This window comes from Homo sapiens, chromosome 19 (genome assembly GCF_000001405.40).
Source record: "Homo sapiens chromosome 19, GRCh38.p14 Primary Assembly".
NCBI lineage: Eukaryota > Metazoa > Chordata > Mammalia > Primates > Hominidae > Homo > Homo sapiens.
In genome coordinates this window covers 14,277,710-14,290,706 of record NC_000019.10, presented here as the reverse complement: position 1 = coordinate 14,290,706, position 12,997 = coordinate 14,277,710, and the positions used below count along the sequence as shown (strand labels likewise).

At 50.8% G+C, this 12,997-nt stretch overlaps 1 annotated feature.

The window, feature by feature from the left end:
- Window positions 12,496-12,790: a silencer, noted in NCBI's record as "tiled region #1520; HepG2 Repressive non-DNase unmatched - State 9:DNaseU, and K562 Repressive non-DNase unmatched - State 22:ReprW". NCBI's record gives its function as "represses a minimal TATA promoter and a strong SV40 promoter by Sharpr-MPRA in HepG2 and K562 cells {active_cell/tissue: HepG2 | K562}" and the evidence as "EXISTENCE:reporter gene assay evidence [ECO:0000049][PMID:27701403]".

Sequence of the window (12,997 nt, the reverse complement as noted above, 5' to 3'; positions counted from 1 at the left end):
ACAGGACTTACTATCAGCCAGATATTGCCATCTGCCTTAACTGGTTTAATCCTGACAGTGAACCCCAATGATGTAGAAAATGTTACCACCATTTTTTTTTTTTAAATACGGAGTCTCGCTCTGTCCCCCAGGCTGGAGTGCAGTAGTGCAATCTCGGCTCACTGCAACCTCTGACTCCTGGGTTCAAGTGATTCTACTGCTTCAGCCTCCCAAGTAGCTGGGATTACAGGGGCACACCACCACACCTGGCTAATTTTTATATTTTTAGTAGAGATTTTTATATATTTGCCATGTTGGCCAGGCTGGTCTCGAAGTCCTGACCTCAGGTGATCTGCCTGCCGCAGCCTCCCAAAGTGCTGGGATTACAGGCATGAGCCACCATGCCCGGCTGTTATCACCATTTTACAGGTGGTGAAACCAAGACACAGAACAATGCAGTGGCTCCCACGTGTGGATAAGAAGTAGCTTGTGGATTTGAACCCAGGACACCTTGTCTGTGCATTGAGCCAGGCCGATCTGCACCCAGGCACCTGCCCAGGTAGATGCAGGGCCTGTGAGATTCTTCCAAGGCCTCCCATTTTGATGGGGTCCCCAGGCCTCCAGGCCTGCACTGGAGCTGGTCTGCTTCCAGGTGGAGCCAATGGAGGGTCCTGGTGCGGGGGAGTCGGCGTTGGCGGGTGATTGATGGTTTAATATCTCGCGCTGCGACCCGGGCCCCTCCTCGCCCACGCCTCTGCGGGCGGCCCCCAGTGAGAGGTGGAGATGGGATAATTCGGTTACCAAAAAGAGAATGAAAATTCCAGAGAGAGAAAGAGACAGAGAAAGAGGTGCAGACCAGGGAGTGAGCTGGGAGCTGATTTGGCAGGGCTGGGCTTGGATGGGAGGGAGGAGGCCGACTCTCAAATCCGGAATCCCTCTGGGGGCCTGGGGACTCACAGGTCCCAGCCGTCTTCAACTCCCATCTGACTTCCTGTCTTGAGAACAGAGACAGCAGATATGACAAGTGAGAGGTCACAGGCAGGGGCAAGGCCTCAGAGGAGAGGGAAGCATGTGGCCTCCGCCTGGGACAACTGCTGGCAGGTGAGGCCAAGGGGAGGTAGGGACTAGTGGAGTTGGGGTGGAGGGAACAGGAGACTCCAAGTTCCCAGCTCAGAGGCTTCTGGTCATCCTTGACTCGAGTCCTCTCTCTCTTTTTTTTTTTTTTTTAGATGGAGTCTTACTCTGTCTTCCAGGCTGGAGTGCAATGGCATAGTCTAGGCTCACTGCAACCTCCGCCTCCCGGGTTCGAGCAAGTCTGCTGTCTCAGCCTCCTGAGTAGCTGGGACTACAGGCGTGCAGCACCACACCTGGCTATTTTTTGTATTTTTGGTACAGACGGTGTTTCACTGTGTTGGCCAGGCTGGTCTCGAACTCCTGACCTCAAGTGATTCTCCCACCTTGGCCTCCCAAAGTGCTGGGATTACAGGCGTGAGCCACCGTGCCCCGCTGGAGTCCTCTCTTTTTTTCTCTTTCCATCCACGTTCAAACCTCGGACTTCATTTCTTCCCCACCTCCCCGGCCCTCACTTGGTCCAGCCCAGCATCCCTCACCTGGTCCAGCCCAGCATCCCTCACCTGGACTGTGCAGTTCCCTCTACCCTTGCTCAGGTCTCCAGCCTGGCCCTGAAGCCTGTTCCCTCCGCAGCCTCCAGAGGGCGCGAGCGAACACCTGATCAGGCCACGCCCCCTCCTCCCGCTCAGAACCGGGAAAGCTCCCACCTTGTGTTAATTTCCCATGGTTGCCGTCACTAGCTAGCATTTATTTAACGACGCAAATTATCCTACAGCTCTAGAGGTCAGAGATGTGGTTCAGGGTCTCACCTGCCTAAGACCAAGATGTCAGCAGGCTGCAGTCCTTTCTTGGAGGTTTTAGGGGATGATCTATTTTTTGCTCATTTAGGGGTGCAAGATTCAGTTCCCTGGGGTTGTAGAACTGAGGCCCTGTTTTCTTGCTGGTTGTCCATTCCCCGTTTCTAGAAGTTGCCTGCATTCCTTGGCTCGTGGGCCCTCCCTCCATTTTCAAAGCCAGCAATGACGAGTCAAGTCCTTCTCATATGACAGCCTTCAACTCCCCTCTGCCGCCCCCTTGCATTTTAAGGACTTGTGTGATTAGATGATCCAAGGTCATTTCCCTGTCTGAAGATCCTTAATTACCTAATCAGCAAAGTCCCTTTTGTTGCATGAGGTAGCAATTCACTAACCCTGCTTCTCAGGGCCTGGCTGTGTCCAAAGGAGTCTTTCTCCTTTAGACACTTTTAAGTGTCTGACCTGTCTTCTGCCTCTCCCTGGGCACCTGCTCCCTGCTCAGCCTGCCTCTCCCGCAATTCAAGCCAGTCATATGCTTGACACTCCTCCAGGAAGCCTCCCTGAAGTACCCATGTTTATCAACCCGCTGGAGCAGTTACCAGCCCCTTTCTCCTATCCTCCCCAGGCCATGAGATCTTGAAAGTTTAGGATGAGGAAGTAGATACCTTGGGAAGGAGGGCATTATTCTCCTTACCAACTGCCTCACTCAGAGCAAAACTCCAGTCCTCACGGAGGCCAGAAAACCCAGCTTTCTCCAAGCAGATGGGCCTCCTTACTGTTCTCCAAACTCACCAAAGACATCCTGCCTCAGGGCCTTTGCACAGGCTGTTCCCTCTGCCTGAGTCATCCTCCCCAGATATCCACATGGCTCCTCCCTCACCTCCTCCAGGTCTCCCTTCACTTGTGCCCCTCCCCAGGGAAGCCTTCTCTGATGCACACACACCCAATTTACAACATCCACAGACTCTTATTGCTTTTTTTTTTTTTTTTTTTTTGAGACGGGGTCTCGCGCTGTTGCTCAGGCTGGAGTGCAATGGCGTGCTCTCAGCTCACTGCAACCTCCACCTCCGAGTGCAAGTGATTCTCCTGCCTCAGCCTACCGAGTAGCTGGGATTACAGGCATGCTCCATGACACCTGGCTAATTTTTGTATTTTTAGTAGAGACAGGGTTTTGCCATGCTGACCAGGCTGGTTTTGAACTCCTAGCCTCAAGTGATCCGCCCGCCTCGGCCTACCAAAGTGCTGGGATTACAGGCCTGAGGCTGCTGTATTTTCTCCATTGCACTGGCTGCTTTTGGCTACAACACAGAATATTCATTCCTTGTTCATCTTGTCATCGCCCAGGTCTCCCACTGGAAAGTCAGCTCCAAAAGGGAAGTTCCTCCACACTGTTCCCTCCTGGCTCTGTATGCCGCCCCCTTCCCTGGCCCTTGGCATACAGCAGGTGCTCAATAAGTGTTAGGGCTGGGCGCAGTGGCTCACACCTGTAACTACCAGCACTTTGAGAGGCCAAGCGGACAGATTTGAGCCCAGGAGTTCAAGACCAGCCTGGCCAACATGGCAAAACCCCGTCTTTACTAAAAATACAAAAATTATCCAGGTGTGGTGATGCATGCCTGTAATCCCAACTATTCGAGAGGCTGAGAAATGAGAATTGCTTAAACCTGGGAGGCAGAGGCTGCAGTGAGCAGTGATCGTGCCACTGCACTCCAGCATGGGCGACAGAGCGAGACTGTGTCTCAAAAAATAATAATAATAAGTGTTTGTTGAGTGAATGGATGGCAGGCAGGCAGGGCCCCAGCCCAGAGGAGGATGGGGACCCAGTGGAAGGTGGGAGCGGCAGGTGGAGAGGGATTGGTGTGGAGATGGTAGAGAAAAAGACCTTCTAGAACAATCCTGGGGGTCAGGTGGTCCCTGTGATGAAATGAACCAGCATTGTGTGAATTCCGGTCAAGGGCTGATCTGTCATGATCTCTATAACATGCTTTTCACAGGGAAATGTGTCCCCCCTGCCCCGCAATCCCCTTGATAAAATCTTAGCCTTATGACTTTGTTCTCTGTTCATCTCAGATAACAGATGTTCCTGGAGTCGCCTTAGTCACAGGGCAGCTTGGCTTCAATTCAAAACAAGGAATGTCCAGACCCAAGCTGGGGCCTTGATTTAGACTTCAATCCTATTTCCTTCTACCTCTCCTCCATCCCCACCAGCGTCATGTTCTGGGGGTCTGGGTGGTGCTAGGGCCCCTTCCTTCTTGCTTTCCTCTCCTTTCCTTTCACGGCCAGGGCTGCAGCTCCAGGAGGGAATATAGTGTGTCAAATGGTGGCCCCCCAAAAGGATGTGTCCACACTCTGGCCCCTGCAACCTGTGAATGTGATGTTTTTATATTATTATTATTTTTTTTTTTTTGAGATGAAGTCTTGCTCTTGTCTCCCAACTGGAGTGCAGTGGCGCAATCAAGGCTCGCTGCAACTTCCGCCTCCCGGGTTCAAGCGATTCTCCTGCCTCAGCCTCCTGAGTAGCTGGGATTACAGGCGCCTGCCACCACGTCCGCCTAATTTTTGTATTTTTAGGAGAGACGGGCTTTCCCCATGTTGGCCAGGCTGGTCTCAAACTCCTGATCTCAGATGATCTGCCTGCCTCGGCCTCCCAAAGTGCTGGGATTACAGGCATGAGCCACCACGCCTGGCCAACTTATTTTTTTTTTAAAGACATGGTCTTGCTCTGTCACTCAGGGTGGCCAGAGAGCAATGGCATGATTTTGGCTCACTGCAGCCTCGACTTCCCAGGCTCAAGTGATCTTCCCACCTCAGCCTTCCAAGTAGCTGGGACCACAGGCACGCAACACCGTGCCTGGCTAATTTTTGTATTTTTTTGCAGAGAGAGATTCTTGCTATGTTTCCCGGGCTGGTCTCAAGGTCCTGGCCTTGAGCAATCCTCCCACCTCGGACTCCCAAAGTGCTGGGATTACAGGCACGAGCCACTGCGCCTGGCCTGAATGTGATCTTAGGTGGATAAACTGTAACTGTCATAGGCCCATTGTTTGAGGCACTGGGCAAGTCAACATGCTGAGATACCAGTTTGCAGCAGAGAAGGAGGTTTAATCATAGGGCCACAGATCGACGAGATGGGAGCAAATCTAAAATCCATCTCCTGGGTGGGTGTGGTGGCTCACACCTATAATCCCAGCACTTTGGGAGGCTGAGGTGGGCAGAGCACTTGAGGCCAGGAGTTTGAGACCAGCCTGGCCAACATGGCAAAACCCTGTCTCTACTAAAAATACAAAAATTAGCCGGGTGTGGTGGTGCGTGCCTGTAGTCCCAGCTACTTGGGAGGCTGAGGTGGGAGAATCAGTTGAACCTGGGAGATGAAGGTTGTAGTGAGCCAAGATCGCACCTCTGCACTCCAGCCTGGGTGACAGAGTGAGATTCTCTCAGAAAACAAACAAACTAAAATTAATAAATAAAAATGAAATAAAATAAAAAAAAAATTCATCTCCCCTAGGAATTTGGGGCTGGGGTTTTTAAGGGGTATGGAGTGGGCCCAAGTGTGGAGATCCTTTGATTGGTCAAAGAGTGCAAGATGAAGTCTTGGGACAGAGGATTGGGCAGGAGTTGAGGGACAAGGGGTGGGTGAAGAAGCTGTATTCTCATGCTGATCCCATTCCTATATGGGGGGTCTTCTTCAGACTGGTTGCTGGAATTCAGGATCTGCAAAAACATCTGAAGCGATCCTTAAGCAAAAGCCATATGATCCTGACTGGGCGCAGTGGCTCACGCCTGTAATCCCAGCACTTGGAGGCCGAGGCGGTGGATCACTTGAGGTCAGGAGTTCAAGACCAGCCTGGCCAACATGGTAAAACCCCTTCTTTACTAAACATGCAAAAATTAGCCAGGTGTGGTGGTGCACGCCTGTAATCCCGGCTACTCTGGAGGCTGAGGCAGGAGAATCGCTGGAACCCGGAAGGCAGCGGTTACAGTGAGCTGAGATCACGTCAGTGCACTCCAGCCTGGGTGACAGAGCAAGACTCCATCTCAAAAAAAAAAAAAAAAAAAAGCCATATGCTCCTAATGTCAGAGATCCTGTCTGTAGAAACAATGGGATGTATTTGTGTTTTGTTTTGTTTTGAGACAGAGTTTCGCTCTTGATGCCCAGGCTGGAGCGCAGTGGCACGATCTCAGCTCACTGGAACCTCTGCCTCCCGGGATCAAGCAATTCTCCTGCCTCAGCCTCCCCAGTAGCTGGGTTTACAGGCATGCACCACCATGCCTGGCTAATTTTTGTATCTTTGGTAGAGATAGGGTTTCTCCATGTTGGTCAGGCTGGTCTCGAACTCCCAACCTCAGGTGATCCACCCGCCTTGGCCTCCCAAAGTGCTGGGATTACAGGCGCGATCCACTGCGCCTGGTGAAACAATGGGGTGTAAAAGTACTACCTGACCTTTAGCAGCAAGGAAGGGGACCCTAGTGCAGCCTGATTCATGGTTCATTGTAACTGTATTTCTGTCTGGAATCTGGCATGCAATCCTTGTCAACTCTGTAGGAGGGGTTTTGAAAGGGTCATTGCAGATATTAGAATTCTGAAGATGAGATCATCCTGGAAAACATGGTAGTCCTAAATCCACAGACGACTCTCCTTAGGAGAGACACAGAGAGGAGACACAGTAGAGAAGGACCCGTGAAGACGGAAGCAGAGGTTGGAATGCTGTGGTCGCCACCGAGGAATGCCTGGAGCCCTCACAAGCTGGAAGGGGCCAGGAGGGATTCCTCCCTAGAGCCTCTGTGGGGAGCGTGGCCCTGCAGATGTTTTGATTTCAGACTTCTGGCCTGCAGAACTGTGAGAAAATAGGTTTCTGTTGTTTTAAGTGACTCAGTTTGTGGTACTGTTATAGCGGCCACAGGAAGGAAACAAATCCAGGGGTCAGATGGTTCTCATTGCACTGGGTCTGCTGTCAGCCAACCTTGCCTTTCAGGACCTAGTGGTGTTCAGAATGAAATCTTTCACTTTCACTTTTTTTTTTTGAGACAAGGTCTCACTCTGTCACCTAGGCTGGAGTGTAGTGGGGCAATCTTGGCTCACTGCAACTTCTGCCTCCCAAGTTCCAGCGATTCTCCTGTCTCAGGCCAAGGCAGGTGGATCACTTCAGGTCAGGAGTTCAAGACCAGCCTCGCCAGTGAAACCTTGTCCCTACTAAAAAAATATAAAAAATACAAAAATTAGCCGGGCGTGGTGGTGTCCACCTGTAGTCCCAGCTACTCGGAGGCTGAGGTGGGAGAATCACTTGAACCCAGGATGTAGAAGTTGCAGTGAGCTGAGATTGTGCCACTGCACTCCAGCCTGGGCAGCAGACTGAGACCCTGTCTGAAAAAAAAACAAAAAACAAAAAACAAAACAGCTGGGTGCAGTGGCTCACACCTGTAATCCCAGCACTTTGGGAGGCCGAGGCGGGCGGATCACGAGGTCAGGAGTTCGAGACCAGCCTGACCAATATAGTGAAACCCTGTCTCTACTAAAAATACAAAAATTAGGCCGAGTGCAGTGGCTCACACCTGTAATCCCAGCACTCTGGGAGGCCGAGGCGGGTGGATCACGAGGTCAGGAGATTGAGACCATCCTGGCTAACATGGTAAAACCCCGTTTCTACTAAAAATACAAAAAAAAAAAAAAAAATTAGCTGGGCGTGGTGGCGAGCGCCTGTAGTCCCAGCTACTCCAGAGGCTGAGGCAGGAGAATGGCGTGAACCCGGGAGACAGAGCTTGCAGTGAGCCGAGATCGGGCCATTGCACCCCAGCCTGGGCGACAGAGTGAGACTCTGTCTCAAAAAAATTTATCTTCCGAGTAATGTGCAAAGGAAATCAGTATTCGGAAGAGCTATCTGCACTCCCAAGTTCTTTGCAGCACTATTCACAATAACAAGATATGGAAGCAACCTAAGTGTCCATCAATGAATGAATGGATAAAGAAAATGTGGTGCATATACACAATGGAGTACTGTTCAGCCTGATAAAAGAAGGAAATCTTGTCATTTGCAACAACGTGCATGAATCTGGAGGACATTATGCGAAGTAAACTAAGCCTGGCGCAGAAAGACAAATAGTTCATGATCTCACTTGTATGCAGAATCTAAAAAAAAAAAAGTCACATTCACCGAAGTAGAGAGTAGAACAGTCCTTACCAGAGTCTGGGGTCGCGGAAAACATGTTGCCCAAAGGATACAAAGTTTCCATTAGGAAGAGTAAGTCCTGGTGATCTATTGCACAGCAAGGTGGCTATAGCTAATCATAATGTATATTTTTTCTTTTTCTTTTTTTTTTTTTTTTTGAGACAGAGTCTCGTTCTGTTACCCAGGCTGGAGTGCAGTGGCACAATCTCGGCTCACTGCAACCTCCACCTCCCGGGTTCAAGCAATTCTCTGCCTCAGCCTCCTGAGGAGCTGGGACTACAGGCGCCCGCCACTACGCCTGGCTAATTTTTATATTTTTAGTAGAGACAGGGTTTCACCATCTTGGCCAGGCTGGTCTTGAACTCGTGACCTCGTGATCCACCTGCCTCGGCCTCCCAAAGTGCTGGGATTACAGGCGTGAGTGACTGTGCCCCACCCCATAATGTATTTTCAAACTTGTGAAATGAGTGGATTTTAAATGGTCTCACTATAGGGTCTGGTGCGGTAGCTCACATGTGTAATCCCAGCATTTTGGGAGGCTGAGATGGGAGGATCACTTTAGCCCAGGTGTTCAAAACCAGCCTGGGCAATATTTTACACACCCTGTCTCTAAAAAAACAAACTGTTCTCGCTACAAAGAAATAAGTATGTAAGGTGATGGATATGTTCATTAGCGCGATCTGCTTTATAATATATACAGTATTGAAACATCACATCATACTCCATAAACATATGCAATTACTTGTCAATTAAAAATTAGGGATCAGATGTGGTAGCTCACACCTGTAATCCCAGCACTTTGGGAGGCCAAGGCGGGTGGATCACTTGAGGTCAGGAGTTTGTGACCAGCCTGACCAACATGGTGAAATCCCAACTCTACTAAAAATATGAAATTAGCCAGGCGTGGTGGCACGTACCTGTAATCCCAGCTACTTGAGAGCCTGAAGCAGGAGAATCGCTTGAATCCAGGAGGGGGAAGTTGCAGTGAGCCAAGATTGTGCCATTGCACTCCAGCCTGGGCAACAGAGCAAGACTCTGTCAAAAAAAAAAGAAAAAGGCTGGGCATGGTGGCTCACGCCTGTAATCCCAGCAATTTGGGAGGCCAAGGCAGGCGGATCATAAGGTCAGGAGTTTGAGACCAGCCTGGCCAACATGGTGACACCTCGTCTCTACTAATAATACAAAAATTAGCTGGGTGTGGTGGTGTGCACCTGTAGTCCCAGCTACTCAGGAGTCTGAGGCAGGAGAATGGCGTGAACCTGGGAGGCAGAGGTTGCAGTAAGCCAAGATTACCTAGTGACAGAGCAAGACTCTGTCTCAAAAAAAAAAAAAAGAGAAAGAAAAGGAAGGAAGGAGAGAGGGAGGGAAGGAGAAAGAAAGAGAAAGGAAGGAAGGAAAGAAGGAAGGAATGAAGGAAAGGAATGAAGGAAAGGAAGGAAGGAAGGAAGGAAGGAAGGAAGGAAGGGCTGGGTGCAGTGGCTCACGCCTGTAATCCCAGCACTTTGGGAGGCCGAGGCGAGCGGATCACGAGGTCAGGAGATCGAGACCATCCTGGCTAACACGGTGAAACCCCGTCTCTACTAAAAATACAAAAAAATTAGCCGGGCGTGGTGGCAGGCGCCAGTAGTCCCAGTTCCTCAGGAGGCTGAGGCAGGAGAATGGCGTGAACCCGGAAGGCGGAGCTTGCAGTGAGCCAAGCTTGCAGTGAGCCGAGATCGCGCCACTGCACTCCAGCCTGGGCAACAGAGCGAGACTCCGTCTCAAAAAAAAAAAAAATAGAAAAGAAAAGAAAGAAAGGAAAGAAAGAGAGAAAGGGAGGGAGGGGGAGAGAGAAAGAGAAAGAGAGAAAGAAAGAGAAGAAAGAAAGAAAAGAAAAGAGATCTTCACTGTGGTCTGGCTTCTGTTGCTAGTCGTTGTGTCTCCCTGGTTGAAATGTCCATCTTAGCATCCCGTTACTCTATCGGCATTCAACTCTGGTAGTCACTGGTGTGACATTATTGCGTAAATGTTCCTGGCCAACAGAGAAGAGGAAAATTTGTAGAAGGGAAGAAAGAATGGATGAGGGAGCATGGGTGGAAAATTTAAGGGTGGTCTGAGCTATACCCAGGAAGCCTGGGATCGGGAAAACCCAACTCTCAGTGCCCTTGGGGCTGAGAGCAACATAAGGTTTAGCAGCCTTAGTAATTTCTTTAAAATCTAAACTGGGGCCGGGGGCAGTGGCTCATGCCTGTAATCCCAGCACTTTGAGAGGCTGAGGTGGGTGGATCATCTGAGATCAGGAGTTCGAGACCAGCCTGGCCAATGTGGCGAAACTCCATCTCTACTAAAAATACAAAAATTAGCTGGGCATGGTGGCGGGCGCCTGTAATCCCAGCTACTTGGGAGGCTGAGGCAGGGATAATTGCTTGAACCCAGGAGATAGAGGTTGCAGTGAGCCGAGATGGTGCCACTACATTCCAGCCTGGGCAACAGAGCAAGACTCCATCTTAAAAAACAAAATCTAAATTGGACCAGGCATGTTGGCTCACACCTGCAATCCCAGCACTTTGGGAGGCCAAGGAGACCAGCCTGGACAACACAACAAGACCCCACCTCTACAAAAAACTTTAGAATTTGCCAGGCGTGGTGGCACATGCCTATAGTTCCACCTGCTTGGGAGGCTGAGGTGGGAGGATCGCTTGAGCCTAGGGAGGTCAAAACTGTAGTGAGCCATGATTGTGCCCCTACACGCTAGCCTGGGCAAGAGAGCGAGACCCTGATTCTATATTAATTCCTTGAGCCACTGTGATTTTGATTTTTGTCCCAGCAGCCAACAAAGAAAAAGGCTTCCTTCATTGACTTCTGTGGGGATTCAATGACGTCGTACACATAAAGCACTTAGCATATGCCTGGTACATGGTAGGTGCTCACTAAATGTTCATTATTCCCACCCCCCATTTTGGTTTTGGGAAGGAGATGCCTTTGGTCTCCAGACTGGCTTCTCAGGGGTATCCCTAAGGTGTATTAGGAAGTTAGGACATGTGGCTTCTATGCAGGTCATTCTCTATTCCTGTTACCTACCCCAGGTTCCATCAATCTGCAGTCCAATCCTGTTTTTTGGTGTTTTTTTTTTTTCTTTTTTTTGAGACAGAGTCTTGCTCTGTCTCCCAGGCTGGAGTGCAGTGGAGTGATCTCAGCTCACTGCAACCTCCGCCTCCCAGGTTCAAGCAATTCTCCTATCTCTGCCTCCCACAGTGCTGAGATTACAGGCATGAGCCACTGCGTCCGGCCAACCATCCTGTTCTATGTCCTGAGAGCTGACCTCTAGGCCCACACCACTGGGCTCCATTGCCCTCTGCTTTGGGGTTGGATTCAGCCAAAAGGAGGTACTGGTGGGAGGGAAAAAGCCTGGGCGTTCCCCTGCAGCTTCACCCCCTCAAGAGCAGATCTGCTTCTTCCAAAGGGAACCTCTTTTCTTTCTTCAGTCACATCCATTTTTTTTCTTTTTTTTTGAGACAGAGTCTCACTCCATCACCCAGGCTGGAGTGCAGTGGCGCGATCTCAGCTCACTGCAACCTCCACCTCCCGGGTTCAAGCAATTCTCCTGCCTCAGTCTCCTGAGCGGCTGGGACTATAGACAAGGCATGTGCTACCATGCCTGGCTAATTTTCTGTATTTTTAGTAGAGACGGTGTTTCATCCTGTTGGCCAGGCTAGTCTTGAACAGGACCTCACATGATCCACCCGCCTTGGCCTCCCAAAGTACTGGTGTGTCCAGAATCAGTGGGTTCTTGGTCTCACTGACTTCAAGAACGAAGCCGCAGACCCTTGCAGTATTACAGTTCTTAAAGGTGGTGTGTCGGGAGTTTGTTCCTTCTGATGTTCGGATGTGTTTGGAATTTCTTCTTTCTGGCGGGCTGGTGGTCCCGCTGGCTTCGGCAGTGAAGCTGCAGACCTTCACGGCGAGTGTTGCAGCTCTTAAGGCAGCACGTCTGTAGTTGTTCATTCCTCCCGGTGGGTTCCTGGTCTCACTGGCCTCAGGAGTGAAGCTGTAGACCTTCGCGGTGAGTGTCACAGCTCATAAACGCAATGCAGACCCAAAGAGTGTGCAGCAGTAAGATTTATTGCAAAGAGCAAAAGAACAAAACTTCCACACCATGGACGGGAATGGGAGCAGGTTGGCACTGCTAGCTCGGGCAGCCTGCTTTTATTCCCTTATCTGGCCCCACCCACATCCTGCTGATTGGTCCGTTTTACAGAGAGCTGATTGGTCCATTTTGACAGGGTGCCAATTAGTGCGTTTACAATCCCTGAGCTAGGCACAAAAGTTCTCCAAGTCCCCACTAGATTAGCCAGACACAGAGCACTGATTGGTGCATTTACAAACCTTGAGCTAGACAGAGAGTGCTGATTGGTGTATTTACAATCCCTTAGCTAGACACTAAAGGTTCTCCAAGTCCCCACCATATTAGCTAGATACAGAGTGCAAACCTTGAGCTAGACACAGAGTGCTGATTGGTGTATTTACAAATCTTGAGCTAGACACAGAGTGCTAATTGGTGCATTTACAAGCCTTGAGCTAGACAGAGTGCTGATTGGTATATTTACAATCCCTTAGCTAGACATAAAGGTTCTCCAAGTCCCACTGGACTCAGGAGTCCAGCTGGCTTCACATAGTGGATCCCGCACCAGGGCAGCAGGTGGAGCTGCCTGCCAGTCCCGCGCTGTGCGCCCGCACTTCTCAGCTCTTGGGTGGTCGGTGGGACCCGGCGCCGCGGAGCAGGGGGCGGCGCTGGTAGGGGAGGCTCAGGCCGCACAAGAGGCCATGGCGTTGGGGGAAGGCTCAAGCATGGCAGGCTGCAGATCCCGAGCCCTGCCCGGCGGGGAGGTAGCTGAGGCCCAGCGAGAATTCGAGCACAGCGCCGGGACCCGGCGAACCCTCCGCAGCTGCTGGCCCGGGTGCCAAGCCCCTCACTGCCCAGGGCCGGCAGCGCCAGCCTGCTGCTCCGAGTGC